We start from the raw sequence: 24397 nt of genomic DNA, 5'->3' as shown, positions 1-24397 counted from the left end.
AGGATCTCCCTATGTTGCCCAGGCTGCTCTTGAACTCCTGGGATCAGGTGATCCTCCCACCATGGCCTTCCAAAGTGTCAGGATTACAGGCATAAGCCATTGTGCCCAGCCTTAATTAATCAATTAATTTTGAAATACAGTCTTGCGCTGTTGCCCAGGCTGGAGAACAGTGCTGCAATCTCGGCTCACTGCAGCCTCGACCTCCCAGGCACCTCAGTTTCCCAAGTAGCTGGGACCATAGGCGTGTGCCACCATGCCCAGCTAATTTTTGTATTCTGGGTAGAGACAGGGTCTTGCCATGTTGCCCAGGCTGGTCTCGAACTCCTGGGCTCAAATGATTTACCCGCCTCTGCTTCTGGCATGAGCCACCACGCCTGGCCTCTTAATTCATTTTTTCAATGGCAAGAGTAATGAGGTAAATCACAGTAAAAAGCTCAGTGTACAGAGGGTGGTGGGCTTCCACATGAAAGGAGCTGGGATGATTCTCAGAAAAAAGGATGCCCTCTGCCTACTGCCACCTTCACTCAGTGCTTCCTGGACCCACAGAGCTCAGCATGCCTGATGGAGGCAGAGAAGCCCAGCACCCAGAGGACTCCAACCTCCTCCCGCCCTGTGGCCTGTAGTGCACCAGCATCACGCACAGCTAATACGTGTCTCAAACCAGAGAAAGGCAATGACCCCACTACAGAAATCACGAAAACGTGAGCATCAGAGGGCCTGCTGCTGTCTCTCCACGGCCCCCGCTGCTGTCTCTCCATGGCCCCCACCGCATTCCTCACCTGCCCTCCCAGTGTGTTCAGGGTGTGAGTGGGACGAGAACATGCAGTCCTGTACCAGCTTTCAATACCCTCTGAACGGTTATAACCACACGATTTTACAGCCTATTTTTCTACTTTTTTTTATTTTTTTTGAGATGGAGTCTTGTTCTGTCACCCAGGCGGGACTACAGTGGTGTGACCTTGGCTCACCACAGCCTCCACCTCCCAGGTTCAAGGGATTCTCATGCCTCAGCCTCCCAAATAGCTGGGACCACAGGCACGCACCATGCCCGGCTAATTTTTGGATTTTTAGTAGAGAGGGGCTTTCTCCATGTTGGCCAGGCTGGTCTCTAACTCCTGGCCTCGAGTGATCCAAGTGCCTCAGCCTCCCAAAGTGCTGGAATGACAGGCGTGAGCCACTGCAGCCTATTTTTAAAACTAGATCCTAAGTACCTGTGCTGTTCAAGTTTTCAGGACCACCCCTCTCGAGGATGTGTAACAATCAACAGTTTCTTCAGATGACAGTGAATGAAACCACACTAAAAAAAAAAAAAAAAAGGTTTTCTGAAGGCTAAGAAAGCAGCAAAGCAGGGCTGCACGCAGTGGCTCTCTCCTGTAATCCCAGCACTTTGGGAAGCCGAGGCAGGTGGATCACAAAGTCAAGAGATCGAGACCAGTCTGGCCAACACGGTGAAACCCTGTCTCTACTAAAAATACAAAAATTAGCTGGGTGTGGTGGTGTGTGCCTGTAGTCCCAGCTACTGGGGAGGCTGAGGCAGGAGAATCGCTTGAACCCGGGAGTCGCAGTTTGCAGTGAGCTGAGATCGCACCACTGCACTCCAGCCTGGTGACGGAACAAGACTCCATCTAAAAAAAAAGAGGCAGGGCGCAGTGGCTCACGCCTGTAATCCCAGAACCTTGGGAGGCCGAGGCGGGTGGATCACCTGAGGTCAGGAGTTCGAGACCAGCCTGACCAATAACGGAGAAACCCTGTCTCTACTAAAAATACAAAATAAGCCGGGCATGGTGGCACATGCCTGTAATCCCAGCTACTCGGGAGGCTGAGGCAGGAGAATCGCTTGAACCTGGGAGGCGGAGGTTGCAGTGAGCCGAGATGGCGCCACTGCACTCCAGCCTGGGCCACAAGAGGGAAACTCCCTCTCAAAAAAAAAAAAGAAAGAAAAAGAAAGTAGCAAAGGGGAAAAGTTAACATGACAAACAACTTGAGAGGGAAGTTGCCAATTAAGATGAAGACTAACGAGGAGAGTGAAGCTGCAGGGGAGTCAGTCACATCGCCGACATAGGCAGACGCCAGAGGCCAGGGATGCTGCCGCCGTCCACGAATTCTGTACCTAAGAACTAGATAAGGGCGTTACTGAGCCAACCTAAGCACTTCTGCTTATTTTTCAGCCAAGAAGCATTACATATATACAACCAATGCCAGTGACTACATCATTTTATAAAACCTATGACTTTTCATGGATAATTTAATAAGATTTCAGTTTAATTACAAGGAAAATATTTTAGGATTATAACTAAGTATTAATAATATCTTTTAGGGCCAGCTATGGTGGCTCATGCCTGTAATCCCAGCACTTTGGGAGGCTGAGGCGGGAGAACTGCCCAGGAGTTTAAGACCAGCCTGGGCAACATAGCAAGACCCTATCTCTATAAAAAATGTTTAAAAAGGCTGGGCGCAGTAGCTCATGCCTGTAATCCTGGCACTTTGGGAGGCTGAGGTGGGCAGATCACTTGAGCTCAGGAGTTTGAGGACAGCCTGGCCAACATGGCAAAACCCTGTCTCTACTAAAAATAAAAAAATTAGCCTGGCATGGTGGTGTACACTTGTAATCCCAGTTTCTTGAGAGGCTGAGATGGAAGGACCATTTGAACCTGGCAGGTGGAAGTTGCAGTGAGCCAAGATCGCGTCACCGCACTCTAGCCTGGGCAACAGAGCGAGACTCCGTCTCAAAAAAAAAAAAAAAAGTAAAAAAAAAAACCAAACTAAAAAACTAGCCAGGCATGGTAGTGTGTGCCTGTAGTCTCAGCTACTTAGGAGGCTGAGGTGAGAGGATTGCTTGAGCCCAAGAGTTTGAGGCTGCAGTGAGCTATGATGTTGCCACTGCATCCCAGCCTGGGCAACATACCAAGACCCTTCTCTACAAAAAAAATGTAAAAAAAAAAAAAAAAAAAAAAAGAATTAGCAGGACATGGTGGTGTGCACTTACAGTCCCAGCTACTCAGGAGGCTGAGGCAAGAGGATCGCTTGAGCCCAGGAGATGGAGGTTGCAGTGAGCTGTGATGGCACCACTGCACTCCAGCCTGGGGAACAGAGTGAGACTCTGTCTCAAAAAAAAAAATTAACACAGAATTATCATATAAAATTACCATATGAGGGGCCAGGTGCAGTGACTCACGCCTGTAATCCCAGCTACTCAAGGAGGCTGAGGCAGAATTGCTTGAACCCAGGAGGCAGAGGTTGCAGTGAGCTGAGATTGTACCACTGTATTCCAGACTTGGTGACACAGTGAGACTCCGTCTTAAAAAATAATAATAAAATAAAATTGCCATATGATACAGCAATTCCACTTCTGTGTATACACCCAAAATAACTGAAAGCAAGGTTGTTGTTCTTTTCCTGAGACAGGGTCTCACTGTGTTGTCCAGGCTGGGGTGCAGTGGTGCCATCAAACCTCACTGCAGCCTTGAACTCCTGGGCTCAAGCAGCCTCCTGAGTAGCTGAGACTATAGGTGGTTGCCACCATGCCCAGCTAATTTTTTGTAGAGATGGCATCTTGCTATGTTGTCAGGGTGGTCTTGAATTCCTGGCCTCAAGTGATCCTTCCACCTTGGCCCCCCAAAGTGCTGGGATGACAGGCATGAGCCACTGCACTCAACTTAGAGCAGGGTCTTGAAGAGATGCTTGCACACCCATGTCCACACTGATGTCAGCATCATTCACAATAGCCAAAAGGTGGAAGGAACCCAAGTGTTCGCGACAGATGAACAGACAAGCAAACTGTGGTCAACCCATGTAGTAGAATATTACTCAGCCTTCAAAAGAAAGGAAATTCTGACACATGCTACAACATGGATGAACCCTGAAGACATTATGCTCAGTGAAATAAGCCAGAAACAAAAGGACAAATACTTGGCCGGTGTGGCGGCTCACACCTGTAATCCCAGCACTTTGGGAAGCCGAGGCGGGCAGATCACGAGGTCAGGAGATCAAGACCATCCTGGCTAACACGGTGAAACCCCGTCTCTACTAAAAATACAAAAAATTAGCCGGGCATGCTGACGGGCGCCTGTAGTCTCAGCTACTCTGGAGGCTGAGGCAGGAGAATGGCATGAACCCGGGAGGCAGAGCTTACAGTGAGGTGAGATCGTGCCACTGCACTCCAGCCTGGGCAACAGAGCGAGACTCCATCTCAAAAAAAAAAAAAAAAAAAAAAAGACAAATATTTCAAGATTCTACTTGTATGAGGTTCCCAGGGCAGTTAAATTCCTAGAGACAGAAAGTAGAATGGTGGTTGTGGGGGCAGGGGAGGGGGATGGGAGTTTGTGTTCAATGGGGACAGAGCTTTAGTTTTACAAGATGAACATAGTTCTGGGGCTGGAGGGTGGTGATTGCTGCAGAGTGATGTGAACGTGCTTAACACCACCAAACTGCATGCTTAAAAATGGTTACAATGGTAATTTTTTTTTTTTTTTTTTGAGACGGAGTTTTGCTCTTGTTGCCTAGGCTTGAGTGCAGTTGCACAATCTCAGCTCACTGCAACCTCTGCTTCCCGGGTTCAAGCGATTCTCCTGCCTCAGCCTCCTAAGTAGCTGGGATTACAGGCTCCCACCACCATGCCTGGCTAATTTTTGTATTTTTAGTAGAGACGGGGCTTCACCATGTTGGCCAGGCTGGTCTCGGACTCCTGACCTCAGGGAATCCACCTGCCTTGGCCTCTCAAAGTGCTGGGATTACAGGCGTAAGCCACTATGCCCAGCCATTTTTTTTTTTTTTTTTTTTTTGGAGACAGGGTTCCACTCTATCATTCAGACTTGAGTGCAGTGGCGTGATCTTGGCTCACTGCAACCTCCCCACTCAAGTGATCCTCCCACCTCAGCCTCCTGAGTAGCTGGGTTACAGGTGTGCACCACCACGCCTGGCTAATTTTTGTATTTTTAGTAGAGATGGGGTTTCACCATGTTGACCAGGATGGTCTTGAACTCCTGGGCTCAAGTGATCTACCTGCCTCGGCCTCCCAAAGTGATGGGAATACAGGCATGAGCCACCACGCCCAGCCAAGTTTTAATTTTAAAAGGCGGTTTGGACAGCCAGACATGGTGGTTCATGCCTGTGATCCCAGCAATTTGGGAAGCCAAGGCAGGGGGATTGCTTGAGCCAAGGGGTTCAAGACCAGCCTGGTCCACACAGTGAGACCTCATGTCTACAAATAATTTTTAAAATTAGCTGGGCATGATGGCACACACCTGTGGTCCCAGTTACTCTGGAGGCTGAAGTGGGAAAATGGCTTGAACCCAGGAGGTCAAGGCTGCAGTAAGCTATGATTGTGCCGTTGTACTCCAGCCTGGGTGACAGGGTGAGACCACATCCCAAAAAACAAAACAACAACAACAGCAACAGAAACAACAGCTTGGACATACAAGAATGTCTGGCCCAGTGACTGACACAGCTCCGGCCTGAAGCCCACGTGACTTTTGCTACCTTCTGGGCAGGAGAGAAGCATTCAGGGAAGGGTCCGATAGAACCGCTGGGCTGAGCACTGCGGTCATGATCCCACCTGCTTCCAAAACACATCATGGGCAACACTGAAGCCATAAAGTAATTTTTCATTAAAAAGAAATAGGACATGATTTCCAAATGCAAATCTCCCAGTGTTTCAACAAAAAGCCCCCTGTGATTTGAAGCAGAGCACGCAGAGGCATCTCAGATGAACAGACGTATAACCCGCCTGCGGCACACCAACCGTGGGCTGCTGCCTCCAGCAAGGGAACCCACAGAGCAAAGTTTCACCTAGAAGCATCATCCGCCAGGAAACTGTAGCGGTGGAGGTGCTTTTCCACGGCGGCTGTGTCAGATGCCCTCATAAATGGCACTGAAAATTATTAGGTTAGGTTTAAACGCAAACACTGTGGTTAGGCTGACAGAGTTGTGTCTTAGCTCCGGGTGGGGCTGTTAAATATTTCTTTGCTCACACACAACATGCAGGGCATGAAGCCAGGGGCAGACTCTGCAGCCCCAGGGAGCAAGTCCATGCCGGCTGCCCACGCAAGGCCACTGGTCCAAATACTCATGCTGACTGTGGGCAAAACACTAGAGAAAGAAAAGGCAGCTAGCACAGACAGCTATGGCCTTAGCTCACTCGTGTTCAGCTGTGTGTCACCGTGACGTGACCACAGCCATCCTGCTCTGGAAGACACTGCCACATGGCCAGATCTATATTAAGCCCCCCAGAAGCGCATTTTCCACATTGTTACAGCAGAACTGACATCGATCACACAAAAAGGTCACGTAATACGTGGCTAATTTTATGTGTCAACTGGACTGGGCCGTGGGGTACCCAGATATTTGGTTAAGCATACTCTGACTGCGTCTGTGAGCATGTTTCTGGAGGAGAGTAACATCCAAATGGGTGAACTGAGATATCGGATGCCCTCCCAGTATGAGAGGGCCTCAGCCAGTCCACTGAAGGCCCAAGTACAACAGAAAAGTGGAGTAAGGCCAGGTGTGGTGGCTCATGCCTATAATCACAGCACTTTGGGAGGCCAAGGCAGGCGGATCAGTTGAGGTCAGGAGTTCGAGACTAGCCTGGCCAACATGGTAAAACCCTGTCTCTACTAAAAATACAAAAATTAGTCAGGCCTGGTGGCACATGCCTGTAATTCCAGCTACATGGGAGGTTGAGGCAGGAGAATAGTTTGAACCTGGGAGGCGGAGGTTGCAGTGAGCTAAGATCACACCACTGTACTCCAGCCTGGGCAACACTGTGAGACTCCATCACAAAAAAAAAAAAAAAAAAAAGTCAGACATGGTGGCGCACACCTGTAACCCAGCTACTCAGGAGGCTGAGGCAGGAGAATTGCTTGAACCCAGGAAGCAGAGGTTGCAGTGAGCTGAGATCACGCCACTGCACTCTAGCCTGGCCAACAGAGCAAGACTCTGCCTCAAAAAAAAAAAAAAAAGGTAGAGTAAGAGAATCAACTCTCTCTGCCTGCCTGTCTTTGAGCTGGGACATTGGTCTTCGTCTTTGGACTCCGTCTCAGACTGGAGTCATACCATTGGCTCTCCAGGGTCTGAATTTCTCAGCCTCCGTAATTGTGTGAGCCAATTTCTTATCATCAATCTCTTTGTATACACATTGCAAAAGAAAAATAAAATCTCAGGACCCCGAATTCACCAAGCTAAAGGGAAAGTTAAGCTTAACAACCAAGTTACGCAAAAGAAAAGCTGCCTTCTTTTCTTTCCCAGATAAAGTAATTTACGTGCTTATTTATCGCAGGTAAAATGCAGATTTACTGTGCGGAGAAGGCGTATGTGACTCTGCCCCACTCCCTTCTTTTCACATGTAAAATGTAGATTCACTGAATGGTACTAAAAGCCTCACAAAAATGTGACCACTGGCCTCATTGCCTACTCCACCTCCTTTTCTTCCCCTCTTCCCCTCCTGCCTACTTTTTCCTCTTTAAATACTGAAGTTTCCAAAACCCTCTTTAGAAAAAGCACACAGGCCACAGATCCTACAATGACTTGTGTTTCTTTCTTAACCTTGGCAAAATACACCTCTAAATCGACTGAGATCTGTTTCTGTTTCCATGCCTGCTAACACAACATCCATTCTGCAGCCCATGGATCAAGCAGTAATTTTGACTTTTAGGTCTTATTATTAAAGGAATACATTTTGTAAGGCTAAAGCTGCCATAGTGATTCCTCTGTAGGATCTGGGCAAAGTAAACTGAAAACCTGGAAAGGATTCACCATTCTAATGCCTTTAAGAACATTCGGGATTCACAGGAAGAGATCAAAATAGCAACATTAATAGAAGTTTGAAGAGGTTGGTTCCAGTCCTCATGGATGACTCTGAGGAGTTCAAGACTCCGGTGCAGGAAGTAACAGCAGATGTGGTGGAAACAGCAAGAGAAGTAGAATCAGAAGTGGAGCCTGAAGATGTGGCCAAATAATTGCAATCTCATGTTCAAAGCTGAACAGATGAAGAGTTGCTTCTTACGAAGGAACGAAAGAGCAGTTTCTTGAGGAGGAATCTACTCTGGGTAAAGATGCTATGAACGCTGCTGAGATGACCAGAAAAGATTTAGAATATTCCATAGACTTACATGATAATGCAGTGGCAAGGTTTGAGAAGATTGACTACAATTTTAAAAGATGTTCTACTATAAGTAAAATGTTATCAAACAGCATCACGTGCTACAGGAAAACCTTTTGTAAAAGTAAGAGTCAATAAATGCAGCACACTTCATTGTTGTCTTAAGAAATTGCCAGCCAGGCGCGGTGGCTCACGCTTGTAATCCCAGCACTTTGGGAGGCTGAGGTGCGCGGATCACAAGGTCAGGAGATCGAGACCATCCTGGCTAACACGGTAAAACCCCGTCTCTACTAAAAATACAAAAAAAATTAGCCAGGCGTGGTGGCGGGCGCCTGTAGTCCCAGCTACTCAGGAGGCTGAGGCAGGAGAATGGCGTGAACCCGGGAGGCGGAGCTTGCAGTGAGCCAAGATCGTGCCACTGCACTCCAGCCTGGGCGACAGAGCGACTCTGCCTCAAAAAAAAAAAAAAGAAAAAAGAAAAGAAATTGCCATAGCCACTCCAGCCTTCAGCAACCACCGCCCTGATCAATCAGCAGCTATCAACATCAAGACAAGACCCTCCACCAGCAAAAAGATTGCCACTCGCTGAAGGCTCAGATAATTGTTAGCATTTTTTAGCAATATTTTTAAATTAACGTATGTACATTGTTTCTTAGACATAATGCTATTGCACACTTAATAGACTACAGTATAGTGTAAACATAAAACTTTTTTTTTTTTTTGAGGCAGAGTTTCGCTGTTGTCATCCAGGCTGGAGTGCAGTGGCACAATCTCGGCTCACTGCAACCTCTACTCTGGGGTTCAGGTGATCCTCCTGCCTTAGCCTCCTGAGTAGCCAGGATTACAGGCGCCCACCACCACATCTGGCTAATTTTTTGTATTTTTAGTAGAGATGGGGTTTCATCATGTTGGCCAGGCTGGTCTTGAACTCCTGACCTCAGGTGATCCACCCGCCTTGGCCTCCCAAAGTGCAGGGACTGAGGCGTGAGCCACCACACCTGGCCAAATATAACTTTTATATGCACTGGGAAACGCAAAAACTTTGTTGACTCTCTTTATTGCGATATTCACTTGATTGTGGTGGTCCAGAACTGAACCTGCAACATCTCTGAAGTATGCCTGTAGAGATAAATGAGACAGCACAAAGTCCCAAAAGAGATCCACATGTATGTGGCTGTTTTCAAAAGGTGGCAAAGTAATTCAATAAGGAATAACAATCTTTTCAACAAATGGTGCTGAAACAACTGGATATCTGCATGAAAAAGAATGAACCTCAACCCTACGCCTCACACAGAAATTAACTCACAATGGATCATGGCCTTACACATAAACACTAAAACTAAAATATTCAGAGGAAAACAGGAAAAAATCTCCATGACTTGGGAGAAGGCAAAGATTTGTTGGGATACCAAAAGCACAAATATGAGAGAAAAATGTGGTAAATTGGACTTTATCAAAATTTAAAACTTAGGATTCTCAAATTTTACCATTAAAGAAAGTAAAGGCTGGGCACGGTGGCTCACACCTGTAATCCCAGCACTTTGGGAGGCCGAGAAGGGTGGATCACCTGAGGTAAGGAGTTCAAGACCAGCCTGTCCAACATGGCGAAACCCCATCTCCACTAAAATTACAAAAAATTAGCCGGGCATGGGGGCAAGTGCCTGTAATTCCAGCTACTCAGGAGGCTGAGGCAAGAGAATCGCTTGAACCCAAGAGGTGGAGGTTGCAGTGAGCCAAGATCACACCATTGCGCTCCAGCCTGGGTGACAAGACCAAAACTCTGTCTCAGAGAAAAAAAAAGAAAAAGAAAAATAAAAAAAGAAAGTAAAAGACAGGCCATAGGCCGGGAGAAAATATTCTCAATATGTATATCTAACAAAGTGCCTATATCCAGAATATATAAAGAGCTCTTACAACGGAAAATAAACCCAATTAAAAAATAAGCAAAAAATTTGAACAGACGTTTCACAAAAGAAGAGATACAAATAGTCAGAAAGCACATAGGAAAGTGCTCATCATCATTAGTCATCAAAGAAATGCAAATTAAAATGAGATAACTGGCCGGGCGTGGTGGCTCATGCCCGTAATCCCAGCACTTTGGGAGGCCGAGGTGGGTGGATCACCTGAGGTCAGAAGTTCAAGACCAGCCTGGCCAACATGGTGAAACCCCATCTCTACTAAAAATACAAAAATTAGCTGGGTGTGGTGGTGGGTGCCTGTGATCCCAGCTACTCGGGAGGCTGAGGCAGGAGAATCACTTGAACCCAGGAGGCAGAGGTTGCAGTGAGCCAAGATCACGCCACTGCACTCCAGCCTGGGCGACAGAGGGAGACTCTGTCTCAAAAAAAAAAAAAAAAAAAAAAAGCTAAAACCTGAAAACAACCCCAATGTACATCAGCAAGTGAGTGTAAAAAGGGTGAAGTGCTGATTCATGGGTGAACGCCACAGGTCGCACACTGAAAAAGGAGCCAGACGTAAAAGACTGCATGTTCTGTGGTTCCATTTATATGACATTTAAAAGAGGCCAAAATCGTGATGAAAATCATAGACTGCAGAGGAGCACGCAGAAACTCGGGGCGATGGAAATGCTCTACTGTTTGATTGCAGAGGCAGGTACAAGGTGAATATGTTTGGCCACGTTCCTCAAACTGCATACTTAAAATGGGTACGTTTTATTGCATGTAAATCATACTCAATACATTTGATTTAAAGTTAAAAAGAAAATGTTTGTGGTTTTATGAAGCTGATCTCCAGAGGCTAACACTTCTCTCTCTAATATGAATGCAATGGCCCAGCTCTCACCAATTTCCACAGTACAGAAGAAAACACCAGTGCAGAGTTCCGCACAGACACGGAGGGACTGGGAGGAAGAGGGAAGGGATACTGAGACCAAGTCCGGCCTCTGCTGAGTGGCCTGGGCCAAGTCATTTTATGTCTGACTTTCAGTCCATCTACAAAAGAAGAACAAACTAGGCCTTTCTGCTAACCAGAGCTACCGAGAGCACAAAAATGAGAAAACACAGCTAAGTGGTTGATAAAATAGTAAAGCACTTTCTTTAGAATCTGCCCCGGCCTTACTTATCTCTCTGTCTTCATCAGGCTCAAATATTTGTTACACAAATATGTGTTATTTTTATTATTACTCATGCTTTCTACCAAGAGCCAGTTATCAAGTCAAAAAAAAAAAAACTGTCTATTTGCAAATTGATTTTAAAATAACAATACCAATAGCTAACATGTTGTTAAAAGTGATGTTCTAAGGGCTTTGCACATATTACTTTGTTTAATCCTCACATGAACTGGGATGAAACTGGGAAAAGTAGCTACAGACTTGCACAAGTCTACATAGCTAGCAGTGTTTAGAGCTGGCCTCAGAACTCAGGCTGTTGTTGGAGAGCCCCCCTTCCTTGCCACTCTGCTCTGCTGGCCTCTACAGTATATGTTTAGGCAGAATTGGTAGGTTTCACTAGACAGTCAAATTTCTATTTCCTTTACTGCTGAGGGAAGTAGCTTCTTCGTGTCCAAATAACCAAGCTCTTGAGCACTAAATCAAGTGACATGACCTTCAATAAGAAGCGCAAGAATGTTTCAAGTTTATTTATTTATGCTACTGACACAAAGACCAGAAACTACCTACTTCTTTTCCAGCTTTACAGACACTATATAAGGCAAATAATTCACTGCAGTTCCCATCGCTGTAGTCAACAAAAATGTGGAAAGTTTCTGTTCCTGGTGTCAATATTTGCTCTCTGCATGTCCTGGGCTGCCTGGAACTTACACACAGTGGTACTACATTAAAACCTCCATCGTGAGACACATTTTCACGCGGTACCTCCAGGACTATGGTTTATTTGCTTATACAATTACTTCATTTGTGTTCAGTTAACTATATCTGACAGTATATCCAAATAAAAATATGTAATTAACGGTCACATTGATGAGAATGGAATGTTGATTTATATCCCAGGAGACCTGAATGAAAACTGAGCCCAAACTTAGCCTTTGAAGTAAAGTAACTTCCCTGCAGAGCCGGTCCTAGAGCACAGAGGCTATCAGCTCACCCTGTTCTCTTCCTTCCCGTCTCTAAGCCCTCTGTTGGCCCTTCCCAGGTAGACAGGAAATCCACGCACGTATACCAGTCCAATATTCCCAAACTGGGTTTCAAGTTCTTAGAAGACAGGGATCATATCTCATGTACCTTCTGTATTCCTCATAAGGCTCAAATATTTGTTGCATAGGTATTTGACTCTAGAATCCAAACGATAACTCACTTGACTCAACTGACTTAAGAGTTAAATCAATTCGTGGCTGGGCACAGTGGCTCACGCCTGTAATCCCAGCACTTTGGGAAGCCAAGCTGGGTGGATCACCTGAGGTCAGGAGACCAGCCTGGCCAACATGGCAAAACCCTGTCTCTACTAAATACAAAAAGTAGCTGGGTGTGGTGGCTGGCACCTATCATCCCAGCTACTTGAGAGGCTGAGGCAGAGACAATTGCTTGAACCCAGGAGGTGGAGGTTGCAGTGAGTCAAGATTGCCCCACTGCACTCCAGCCTGGCCAACAGTGAGACTCCGTCTCAAAAAAAAAAAAAAAAAAGAGTTAAGTTAACTCAAAGAAATTATTTCAGAAGAAAATGATAATAAATCTCACTATGATCAGTTTAAGAACCTGCTTGGGGCTTTACATGCAAAATATATCCAGGCTCAGCCAGGTGCAGTGGCTGATGCCTGTAATCCCAACACTTTAGGTGGCCAAGGCAGGATAATATTTTGAGACCAGGAGTTCAAGATCAGCTTGCGCAACATACCAAGAAGCCATCTGTACAAAAATTTAAAAATTAGCCAGGTATGGTAGTATACACCTGTAGTCCCAGCTACTCAGGAGGCTGAGGTGGGAGGATCTCTTAAGCCCAGGAGGCTGAGGCTGCAGTGAACTATGATCACACCACTGTACTCCAGCCCTCCAGCCTGGATGACAGAGTGAGATCTCATCTCAAAATTTAAAAATAAATAAATAAATAATTTAAAAAAGTAAATAGTTATCCAGGCTCTAACTTGTCAAGTCCCCTCTGCCCTACCTACACCCCACCCTGCCCCAATCACCATCAGCTCTCACCTGCGTTATTGCAACAGGCTCCAAACCAGTCTCCCTGCTTCTGCTCTCAGGCCCACACAATCCATTTTCAACCCCAAAGCCACGGTTATTCTATTAAAAGTTGGATCAGTGGCTTCCTATCTCGAGTCCTTCTGATGGCCCGTGACCAGGACTCCACTGATCTCCTCTTCTATCACAGTCCCCCTCGGCGACCCTCTCCAGCCTCAACAGTCTCCTTGCCGTTCATCCACCGCACCCAGCAGGCTCCTGCTGCTGGGCCTCTGCACCACCATCCCTCAGCTGGGGAATCCCAGGGCAGTCCCACGCTTCCTTCAGATCTCTGCTTGACGCTCACCTCCTCAGCAAGCCTTCCCTAACCACCCTGAGAAAGTAGATCCCAGTCTCTACCCTGCACTCCCCATACCCTGGTTTTCTTCATAGCAGCATTTATCCCATCCCTACCTCAAATCTTTTATTTATTATTTTTAGAGTAGTGTCTCACTGTGTCACCCAGGCTGGAGTGCAGTGGTGCAATCGCAGAATCCCTGAACTGCTGGGCTCAAGCCATCCTCCTGCCTCAGCCTCCCAAAATGTCAGGATTACAGGCGTGAGCCACCATGCCTGGCCTCAAATAGCTCATATACACCAGTTAATCCACTCACTGTCTTCCTGCACTGACTTAAAAGGGAGGTCCTCGTCCTGCCTCACAGCGGGTATTCTCAAGGCTTACAGTAGCATCTGGCACTCAGTACTTGCTCAAGAAAGAGGTGATGTTCTAACAAAAACCAGACAAACTCTGATTGCCTAATTTCTGAAACTTGGGGACAGGTGAAGGATGATGTATAATACTGCTCTCTCTACTGGTCGGTATGTTTTAAAACCCCCTTGGAAAACGACGAAAGAAAGCGCTCGGCCGGGCGTGGCGGCTCAGGCCTGTAATCATAATTGCTTGAACTCAGGAAACAGAGGCTGCAATGAGATCATATCACTGCACTCCAGCCTGAGTGACAGAGTGAGACTCTGCCTGAAAGGAAAAAAAAAAAAAGTGCTCAGAATCTCTGATAAATGACCACAACGACGAGACAGCATACAGAGAACAATGACAATAACCAAGAGGAAATCAGAGCAAGGAAACCCTCCCTGTTAACAGGGCCTGTGCACAGAGGCAGGCGAGGGCCGCCATTCCATCAGAGCAGAAAGCCCATCTGAGACTGTTCCCATTTGGGTCAATTCAATGCCACACATACATATCCATGAAAGAGTGAAATCATTCCGTGAGGTGAAGTTTATTAAGAAACTCAACAGTCTCTGTCCCTGCTTCCCTTTCTCACCTCCGCCCTTCTCCATGATTCTTTTTTTTTTTTTTTCTTTGAGACAGGATCTTGCTCTGTCACCCAGGCTAGAGTGGAGTGTGATGGCTCGATCTCAGCTCACTAAAATCTCCACCTCCTGGGCTCAAGTGAAGTGATCCTCCCACCTCAGCCTCCCAAGGAGCTGAGACAGACACAGGCCACCATGTCTGGCTAATTTTTGTATTTTCAGTAGAGACAGGGTTTCGCCATGTTGCCCAGGCTGGTCTTGAACTCCTGGACTCAAGCAATCCTCCTGCCTCGGCCTCCTGAAGTGCTGGGATTACAGGTGCGAACCACCACGCCCTACCCGCTCCATAATTCTTTTTAGCTAATTCTTTTAATGTCTGCCTTCAGAGTGAACCTTGGTTGTTCAGCTTGGGGCATTAGCGACTGACTTCCCAAGGCGACAGGCGAAAATGCAGCGCTCTCCTCCCCACACCTTCTCTGCCCAGGTGCATCATAATTTCAATTAGAGCAGCAGTCAGTGTTTACATAAATTACTATCATTGCGGCGAGGCTATCCACAGCTGCGCCTTGTAGTACACCATAATTATTTTTCGTTTCCCGCACGATGGTTTATTTTCCCTGGAACTAATAACAGCCTTGTGTTTTCATTTGCTTTGTTTAGTACTTATCACTAATCCCGCCCCAACTCTGCCAACTGTATCAACTCCTCTCCAGATGCTGCAGCATGTCAGGTGTCCTGCTAATTTCATCTTCTCCCAAAGAATCTCCTCTTGGAGCCTCTGACCAGCTGGGGTCAGGACATGTCTGCTCTTCACACCAGCACCTGGCTGGGATTTCCCTTCAGCAGGTTCTTCTCACCTCTCACCTGGGGGAAATCCTGTTCCCACCAGCCAGTCTCTCTCAGTCTAGACTTACTGCCTCATCTGGGGAGACTACATCTGCCAATCACCTCCTTAAAGCATGAGGAACAAATCTGGGAGCAAGTCTGAAGTTGTCTTTACCCTACCCTCCCTTGCCTGAGTGTAGACTTCCAGGCTGCAAATGCATCCTTCAGAATTTCTCAAGCAAGGCCCTCCCGTCTCCTGCCACCCAGTGCTGCTTTGAAAAAGCCCAAGCCCTTCTGCTTCTTTTCATTTTAATTGTAGTTAGTTCTTCTGCCTTTTTCCACATGTTCTAACCTTCTGCCTCTTGACCTGTGATGACCTATTTGTGATTTGTTTTTACTTTCTCCTCTTGTTCTGAGATTTCACAACAGTATGTCCTGGAGAGGGTACGCAAGGATCTTTTTTTTTTTTTTTTTTTTTTTTTTTTGAGACGGAGTCTCACCCTTGTTGCCCGGGCTGGAGTGCAATGGCATGATCTCCACTTACCGTTACCTCCGCCTCCCAGGTTCAAGCAATTCTCCTGTCTCAGCCTCCTGGGCAGCTGGGATTACAGGCACCTGCCACCATACCTGGCTAATTTTTGTATTAGCCAGGGTTTCACTATGTTGGCCAGGCTGGTCTCAAACTCCTGGCCTCAAGTGATCCGTCCACCTCGGCCACCCAAAGTGCTGGGATTACAGGCGTGAGCCACAGCGCCTGGCCTCTGAACTCTCACTATCCAAATTCTGGGGTCAACAGCTGCAGACATGCTTTCAAATAAATCCTTCCCCTCCCAAGCTCTCACTAGTCTTTATCTGAAACTCAGCCTCTCTCACTATCCAAGTTTGCTGCCCAGACTTTTAATTTTTTAAATTTTATTTTTGAGACGGAGTCTCATTCTATTGCCCAGGCTGGAGTGCAGTGGCACGATCTGGGCTCACAGCAACCCCCGCCTCCTGGGTTCAAGCAATTCTCCTGCCTCAGCCTCCTGAGTATGGGATTACAGGCACCCACCACCATGCTTGGCTAATTTTTGTATTTTTAGTAGAGATGGGGTTTCATCATGATGGCCAGGCTGGTCTCGAACTCCTGACCTCAGTGATTCACCTACCTCCTAAATTGCTGGGATTACAGGCATGAGCCACCACACCCAGCCTTCCCAAGCTTTTAATATCCAAGCTGAGAAGTGAAGAGGCTATGAAAGTGAAGGATACCTGCATTTTCACCCGTGGTACTGGCCACTGGGTGAGCCTCTTTAACCCAGAAAGTTTGGGTTCTAGGAAATTATTTTGTGAATTTCATCCTGTTTTCCCTATTTTTTTCTTCTGGAAACTTTTTAAAATGTATTTTATTTTATTTTTTAGAGATGGGGTCTTGCTCTGTCACCCAGGCTGGATGGCAGTGGCATGATCACAGCTCACTGCAGCCTCAAACTCCTGGGCTCAAGTGATCCTCCCACCTCAGCCTCCCAAGTAGCTGGGACTACAGGTGCACACCACCACACCTGGCTAATTTTTAAATTTTGTTGTAGAGATGGGGGTCTTGCTATGTTGCCCAGGCTGGTCTTGAACTCCTGGCCTCAAACGATCCTCTCACCTCAGCTTTGAAGCTCTTACTATTCAGCTGCTGACTTCCTGATCTGATCCTTTCCGTTTCTTTTTTCTCTCATTTGCCACCTCGTTGCTTTTCTGTTCTACTTTCTGAGGGAGTTCCTCAACTTTATCTTTCACCCACTAACTGATTTTCTTATTTCTGCTTTTATTTTTTTTTTTTACATCCGAGAGTTCTCTTTTTGGATATTCGAATACTCCTTTTGGTGGCTTTTTTTTAGAGCTTCCTGTTCTTGCCTCATGTTCGCGATATTTTCGCTCACCTCCGCGTGGACATTAATGACAGCCTGCTTTCTAAGGCTCCTTCCTGCACGCTCTCTGGTTTCCCAGTGTGTATTCTGGTCTCAATCTCCTGTAGCAGAGGTTTTCTTCAGATGCCCTTGGTTATCTGCTCATATTTAAGGGATGGGGATTTTTAAAGCTTGATGCCTTGAACACTGGGAGGGGGTTATTAATGACGGGCTTCGTTAGCAAGGGATCCAGCTGGGTCTGCTGACTGGGGACCTCCTGATGTCATTAATTTTAGGTCTTTTCTCTTGGGCTACTCAGATTCCCCAAAGACACATCCATCCTCCTGTCTACAGGGAAAAGCCCCAGCTGGTCATGTTCTGGGAGCCAAAGGGTCCCTGTTCGCTTCCTCCTCCTGTGCCCTGTTCAGCACTGCGCCCCCACCCCATACTCAACCGCGCCCCCACCCCGTACTCAACTGTGCCCCCACCCCGTACTCAACTGTGCCCCCACCCCGTACTCAACTGTGCCCCCACCCCATACTCAACTGTTCCCCCACCCCGTACTCAACTGTGCCCCCACCCCATACTCAACTGTGCCCCCACCCCGTACTCAACTGTACCTGTCTCCCATTCTTCTCTGAAATATCTTTAAAGTTTCTAAACAGTTACAGAAACCACCACCTTAACAGCAGGAAGTAATAAGTTGGAGAGTCAATTATCTCCAGGCACATCTGTGGGCCAGGGCTGGAGAACCACAGTCCCGCCTGCAGCCACAGACCCACTAAGCAAGTGTGAAACTAACAGCTACTCTCCGAAAAGAAAGACAACTTAAGAATCGAAACTCAAGATGTACGGTTTTTTTAAATGACAAACAAGCCGCATGTGTTTCAGTATCATCAATAACCCGTCTTTTCCCACTGATGGCTCCTTCAGCCCCTGACCCACACTAGAAGAGAATCACCTGCCAGCCTCAATGACTGTGCGTAGTCAAGGAACTGCACGCCCAAGGTCAGCCAACCAACGGGCCTCTCTTCAGCTCTGGATCCCTTCCCACTGGGGTTCCTGGGGATTCCCTCCTTGTACAGGCTGTCTCTTCTCCACCAGGTCACATCTCCTCCAGGATGGCCACCAATACCGCCAACTCTGCAGGTCTAAAACCCACGTGTGTTTGTGTGGCCCTTCCTCTCCCACCTGGCCGCAGCGCTCCTCATCGCAGGTGAGAAGTCCCGGCTGCCCTCGCTGTTACAGGTCGCCACATCTCACAAAGCGCCACCGCCCAGTGGATTTGGCAACATCTTTCAGCTCCATGCCCGCCCCCACTCTCTCACTGCCCCAGACCCACGCCCCACAAGGCTACTCAACTCAGCTCCACTGCCCAGAGGCAAAACCCACCTCCCATATTCTCACCACGACCACTTTTCTGAAACACATCTAATCGCGTCGCACCCAAACCACCACCAAAGGGATAAAAGTTTAAACTCCCTCACACAGCATTCAGGCCCCTGCACAATCAGAAACCCATCTTTCCAGTCTTTTTTTTACTCTGTTGCCCAGGCTGGAGTGCAGAGGCCCAGTGTCGGCTCACTGCAACTTCCGCCTCCAGGTTCAAGCTATTCTCTTGACTCATCCTCCTAAGTAGCTGGGACTTCAGGTGTGCACCACCACGCCCAGCTAAATTTTGTATTTTTAGTAGAGATGGGGTTTCACCATGTTGGCCAGGCTGGTCTCGGACTCCTGACCTCAGGTGATCCGCCCGCCTCTGCCTCCCAAAGTGCTGGGATTACAGTCACGAGCCACCTCGCCCGGCCTTCCAGTCTTAGCTTCCAACCCAATCCTCAAACCCCACTTCATCAAGAACACGGCGACCCACCATCTCCCCCAAACATCACTTTCACTTCCACATCTCTGCATGCCCTTTGCCTCCAAACGCCCCAATTCATAGGTCCTCTCCACTGTGGAAAATGTCGGAAAATGTCGCCACATTCTGTTAACGCCTGCACCACAGTCTCAACTCCACACAGTTGTAGCCAGGCTGGCCGTGAGCTCCCAGGGCAAGGCCCACGCTATTACCGGCATCTACCCCAGCTTAGCATCTTGCACTCGATTGGAGGTTTGATAATAAAGCTGGAGTCAGCTGAGTGACAGCAGACAGTTACTGCTGGCCCCAAAGCGTCAGCCCAAAGTCCCATAAACTCCTTTGCAGGGAAATCAAACATCTATGCCATTCCAGGCAGGTGCTCTTTCAGATCTCAAGCGTTGCACCTTCGTGTAGCAATCTCCTCATTACCCCTGTTTTCTCTCCATCCTCACTCAGACACCAGCCCTGACTCCCAACACCAGATGCTCACGGTGAGGGGCTAACCCGGGTCCCCGCGTGGGGGTAAGTGGGGGACCCGCTGAGCTGTCCCCAACCACCCACAGCCGGGAACAGCACCGTAGGGCCTGGTGTCCTGGAAGATGTACTGCGTCCAGCACCGCGCCTGCAACTCACATTCCTATTCACCCCGGGGCTTCCGAGTCCCCACAGCCCCGCTTATGAACTAAATAATTTAATAATGCTGGAAACACTATGGCTTGTTGTGCTGCCTGCCAGACGGAGCCTCTGCCCGAGCCAAGGCTTTGCCGGCGGTGTCTCGGTGGCCGGGAGCCCGCAGAGGAGGTCTAAGTCCCACTGTTCCCGGACTAAATGCACGGTTTCCTCTCCCAGAGGGGCAGGGCTGCGGCTTCTGGAGTGAGAGGTCATTTAAGGGATACCCTGAGCGACCTGCCGGTGCTGCTGGCGTCTGCAGGCTCCAGGGCTGCGGTCGGCGGGGCCGGGGAGCCCCGTTCAGGTGACAGCAGGCACACGGGGGCCCTCGGGAGCTGGGGATCCTGGAACTCCAAGCCCGGGAATTGGTCCTACCCCTGCCGGGCGGCAGAGGCTGATGCCGGGCAGGGGGACTCCTGGGGGCCGGCGGGGCCGCTGCAGCCTCTGCTGTCGCTGAATCAGAACCACAGATTTCTCGTCCAGACCCCGAGGAGCCGCAGAACGCGCTGATCAGGGCCCCAGGGCTGGGTCCCCCTGGCCGAGGACGACGAGCGGGGCTCAGAGAGGGCGCGCGCAGGGCCAAGGTCACACTGCGCGCCGGCGCGGGAACTCGAACCCAGGCCCAAGCCGCGCCCGCCAGGCCAGGTTAAGGAGAGCCGACCCGCGCCCCTCAGCGCGGCCCGGGACCCCCGCCCGGGCCCTGGGAGCCCAGCACTGGCCGAGAGAGAGGGAGACCGCGCCCCGAGCCCGCCGCCCGCCGCGCCCCTCACCTCGCGACCCTCACCTCGCGCCCCTCACCTCGCGCCCGCAGCCGCCGCCGCCGCCCCGCGACTAGCGGACCCCCCAGAGGCAGCCCTCGCCGGCCCCGCCCCCGGCGCAGGAGCCCCTCCTACCGGTCGTCTTCTCGCGAGACGTCGCGGCCGCCGGAGGGGCCACGGAGGCCGAGGGGCGCCCGCCCTCAGCGCGCCTGCGCCCGGCCAGCCCGCCCGCCCCCGCCCTCGCGAGCCAGTGCCATGTGGCGCCGTATTTACGGCCAGAGATCGACTCCGCCCACCGGCCGCCACGAGCCACGCCCCTTTCTCAGCAGCCAATCCGCGGCGTTGACTCCGCCCCGGCGGACCGGGCGCGCGGCGGCTCGGGGACGCGCAGCTGTCTCGCCGTTCGACCCGGGAGCTCCACGTTGCAGCCAAACACGATCCCGTTAACCAACCTTTATGCAGTGCCTGTTGTCTATCCGACCCTTTCTCGAGCATCGGCTCATTGGCAAAGGATCGTGATGCTCACCGGCTGGGGCTTGAGACTCGCTGTGTGACCTTGGGCAAGTGACTTAACCTCTCTGAGGTTGTCGCCAATCCGTAAAATATAATAGGTTAGTGACCCTACCTTTCAGGGAGTATGTGAGACAAACGAGATGACACGGGTAAAGAGCTTAGCAAGATGCCTAATGCATAGTGAGCATGCAGTAATTGTTCTTGGCATCAATGTAGTTTTGTGTGTTTGTTTGTTTATTTTTTTAGAGACAGGATCTCACCGTGTCGTCCAGGATGGGGTGCAGCGGTGCAGTCACAGCTCACTGCAGCCTCGACCTCCTGGGTTCAAGCCATCCTCCCACCTCAGCCTCCCAAGTAGATGGAACTACAGACAGGTGCCACCACACCCGGCTAATTTTTAATTTTTAATAGAAACGGGGGTCTCACTATGTTGCCCAGGGTGGTCTTGAACCCCTAGACTCAAGCAATCCTCCTGCCTCAGCCTCCCAGAGCTCTGGGATTACAGGCGTGAGCCACCGCGCCAGGCCCAGTCATTTTTTTTTTAAATTATGGTAAAATATATAGAACATAAAATTTACCATCTTAACCTTTGTTGTTGTTGTTGTTGTTGTTGTTGTCGTTGTTGTTGTTGTTGAGACAGAGTCTCGCTCTGTCGCCCAGGCTGGAATACAGTGGCCCGATCTCGGCTCACTGCAAGCTCCGCCTCCCGGGTTCACGCCATTCTCCTGCCTCAGCCTCCCGGGTAGCTGGGACTTACAGGCGCCCGCCACCACGCCCGGCTAATTTTTTGTATTTTTAGTAGAGACGGGGTTTCACCGTGTTAGCCAGGATGGTCTCGAACTCCTGACCTCGTGATCCGCCCGCCTCGGCCTCCCAAAGTGCTGGGATTACAGGCGTGAGCCGCCGCGCCCGGCCCATCTTAACCATTTTTAAGCACTCCCTGCAGTGGCATTAAGCACTTTCACATCCCCACCATCCACCCCAAGAACTTTTTCAATCCGTGATATTTTTAGTTGGCCCCCTCCGATGGACTCCCGAGGCAGCCTTCCAACCAAGGTCATCTCTTCACTCTTCCACTCCCTGCAGCCAGTCCCAAAGGAGTTCCGAACCCACCGGGCCCTGGAAATGTGGAAGTGAGGGAGACGGGCAAGGCCCCTGCCCTCCTGTATTCTAGTGGGGGGGAAAAGCAACAAACAACCACCACAAAATATATGTGTATATTATATACACACTCACAGTAGATAATATGTTTATACGTATGTGTAATGCATACATGTTACCTATGTGTATGTATGTAGTATATATGTTTATATATTGTACACATACATATAGACCTGTATTATGCATGTATAATATGTCTATGTTGTATACATACATATATGCAATTGCACGTATGTAAATAAGGTGACAGCCTCTGGCAATGTCACCCTGTGATGCCTGTCTCAGCTTAGAAATTTCTCACTATCAGCCGTGTGCAGTGGCTCACACCTGTAATCCCAGCACTGTGGGAGGCCGAAGTGGGTGGATCACTTGAGGTCAGGAGTTCAAGACCAGCCTGGCCAACGTGGTGAAACCTGTCTCTACTAAAAATAAAAATACAAAAATTAGCCAGGCTTGGTGGCGGGCGCCTGCAATCCCAGCCACTCAGGAGGCTGAGGTGGGAGAATCGCTTAAGCCTGAGAGGTCAGCTGGGCTTGTTGGCTCACGCCTGTGATCCCAGTGCTTTGGGAGGTGTAGGCGGGCAGATCACGAGATCAGGAATTCGAGACCAGCCTGGCCAACACATGATGAAACCCTGTCTCTACTAAAAATACAAAAAATTAGCCGGGTGTGGTGGCAGGCACCTGTAATCCCAGTTAGGAGGCTGAGGCAGGAGAATCGCTTGAACGCAGGGGCTGGAGGTTGCAGTGAGCCGAGACCGCGCCAGTGAACTGTAGCCTGGGCAACAAAGTGAGACTCCGTCTCAGACAAACAAACAAAAAACCTGAGAGGTGGAGGCTGGAAGCGGAGATCATGCCACTGCACCCCAGCCTGGGTGACAGAGTGAGACTCTGTCTCAAAAATAATAAATAAATAAATAAATAAGTAAAATGGTTACTTTTGTGTTATGTCAACTTCACCTCTTACATCAGCAACATTTTGAATACACTAAAGACCCCTGAATTGTTCATTTTAAAATGGTTACTTTCTGCCCGGAGCGGTGGCTCACGCCTGTAGTCCCAGCACTTTGGGAGGCCGAGGCGGGCTGATCACGAGGTCAGGAGATGGAGACCATCCTGGCTAACGCAGAGAAACCCCATCTCTACTAAAAATACAAAAAATTAGCTGGGCATAGTGGCAGGCGCCTGTAGTCCCAGCTACTCAGGAGGCTGAGGCAGGAGAATCCGTGAACCTGGGAGGGAGAGCTTGCAGTGAGCCCAGATCGTGTCACTGCACTCCAGCCTGGGCGACAGAGCGAGACTCCGTCTCAAAAAAATAATAATAAAAAAATAAAAATAAATAAAATGGTTACTTTTATGTTATGTTAATTTCACCTCTTACGTCAGCAGCATTGCGAATGCACTAAATGCTCCTGAATTGTTCACTTTCAAATGGTTACTTTTACTTTATGGCAACTTCGCCTCTTACATCAGCAACATGCAGATACATTTTACTTACCCACTCTGCAGTGGCTATACCTTATCTCCTGGTTTACAGATAAGGAAGCAGGGGACCAGAGAAGGTAACCAACTAGCCAGAGACACAGAGCTGTGTAAGTGACAGAGCCAGGACCTGAATCCAAATTGTGGACCCCAAAGATGGAGCCACGCTACAGCCTTGAGACTTCCTGGGCCAGGGCCTCAGCTCGGCCCTGGAGACACCTCACTGTGATGATTTTTATCTCCTCCTCTTCTAGGCTCCAGGCTCCTTCTGGCTGGCTGCCCATCCCCCTCCCCAGCAGCTCCATTGGCTGCCACCCATCTTCAGGGACCCTGGGCCCCTCTGCAAAGTCTGTGGTCTCCCCGGAGCTGACCACAGCCTGGCCCAACCTCTGGGTTTTACTTTGAGGTATTTCAGTGTCTCTACCAGCAACAACTATTTCTGGTTTCATAGCCAGGGTTGCAACAAAGGAAAAGCGGTAACTGTGGCTTCTGGGCAAGAGGCCAGCCAGGAAACATTAGCTGCTACTGATAGTAACAGCTATGGAATTCCGGGAGGTTTTTTTGTTTTTGGTTTGTTTGTTTTTTTTTCTTTTTCTTTTTTTCTTTTTTTAGAGACAAGGTCTTGCTCTGTCACCCAAGCTGGAGTGTGCAATGGTGCCATCATGGCTTACTATAGCCTCAGCCTCCTGGGCTCAACTCCCTGAGTAGCTGGGACTACAGGTGCACACCACCATGCCTTGCTAAT

At 49.0% G+C, this 24397-nt stretch overlaps 1 protein-coding gene across 15 annotated transcripts in view, besides 8 other annotated features; it reads right to left on the bottom strand.

Annotated features, from left to right (window-relative positions):
* Positions 1 to 20735, bottom strand: part of CHST12 (carbohydrate sulfotransferase 12) — a 45037-nt gene extending 24302 nt beyond the window's left edge. For 9 of the 15 annotated variants that reach the window (XR_007060074.1, XR_007060066.1, XR_007060067.1 and 6 more), the window contains exon 1: positions 20538 to 20572. Coding sequence is in view for 1 of the 15 variants with exons in the window: in XM_047420571.1 (XP_047276527.1) it covers positions 19083 to 19152 (70 nt within the window). In the remaining 14 variants the exon portion in view is untranslated. Of the gene's footprint in view, positions 1 to 19082; positions 20573 to 20632 lie in introns of those variants that run through there. The other 6 variants (XR_007060070.1, XM_011515444.3, NM_018641.5 and 3 more) reach the window with 6 other exon arrangements.
* Positions 15259 to 15378: an enhancer, noted in NCBI's record as "active region_25532". NCBI's record gives its function as "activates an Ori minimal core promoter by ATAC-STARR-seq in GM12878 lymphoblastoid cells {active_cell/tissue: GM12878}" and the evidence as "EXISTENCE:reporter gene assay evidence [ECO:0000049][PMID:35858748]".
* Positions 15389 to 15448: an enhancer, noted in NCBI's record as "active region_25531". NCBI's record gives its function as "activates an Ori minimal core promoter by ATAC-STARR-seq in GM12878 lymphoblastoid cells {active_cell/tissue: GM12878}" and the evidence as "EXISTENCE:reporter gene assay evidence [ECO:0000049][PMID:35858748]".
* Positions 17086 to 17205: an enhancer, noted in NCBI's record as "active region_25530". NCBI's record gives its function as "activates an Ori minimal core promoter by ATAC-STARR-seq in GM12878 lymphoblastoid cells {active_cell/tissue: GM12878}" and the evidence as "EXISTENCE:reporter gene assay evidence [ECO:0000049][PMID:35858748]".
* Positions 18056 to 18175: an enhancer, noted in NCBI's record as "active region_25529". NCBI's record gives its function as "activates an Ori minimal core promoter by ATAC-STARR-seq in GM12878 lymphoblastoid cells {active_cell/tissue: GM12878}" and the evidence as "EXISTENCE:reporter gene assay evidence [ECO:0000049][PMID:35858748]".
* Positions 20276 to 20445: a silencer, noted in NCBI's record as "silent region_17871". NCBI's record gives its function as "represses an Ori minimal core promoter by ATAC-STARR-seq in GM12878 lymphoblastoid cells {active_cell/tissue: GM12878}" and the evidence as "EXISTENCE:reporter gene assay evidence [ECO:0000049][PMID:35858748]".
* Positions 20536 to 20905: a silencer, noted in NCBI's record as "silent region_17870". NCBI's record gives its function as "represses an Ori minimal core promoter by ATAC-STARR-seq in GM12878 lymphoblastoid cells {active_cell/tissue: GM12878}" and the evidence as "EXISTENCE:reporter gene assay evidence [ECO:0000049][PMID:35858748]".
* Positions 20996 to 21095: an enhancer, noted in NCBI's record as "active region_25528". NCBI's record gives its function as "activates an Ori minimal core promoter by ATAC-STARR-seq in GM12878 lymphoblastoid cells {active_cell/tissue: GM12878}" and the evidence as "EXISTENCE:reporter gene assay evidence [ECO:0000049][PMID:35858748]".
* Positions 23593 to 24280: a transcriptional cis regulatory region, noted in NCBI's record as "candidate enhancer chr7.493 targeted for multiplex CRISPR interference". NCBI's record gives its function as "positively regulates CHST12 gene expression with high confidence in K562 cells {active_cell/tissue: K562}" and the evidence as "EXISTENCE:mutant phenotype evidence [ECO:0000015][PMID:30612741]".

Source organism: Homo sapiens, chromosome 7 (genome assembly GCF_000001405.40).
Source record: "Homo sapiens chromosome 7, GRCh38.p14 Primary Assembly".
Taxonomy (NCBI): domain Eukaryota; kingdom Metazoa; phylum Chordata; class Mammalia; order Primates; family Hominidae; genus Homo; species Homo sapiens.
The sequence above is the reverse complement of the archived record's forward strand: the minus strand, read 5'-3'. Positions and strand labels throughout refer to the sequence as shown.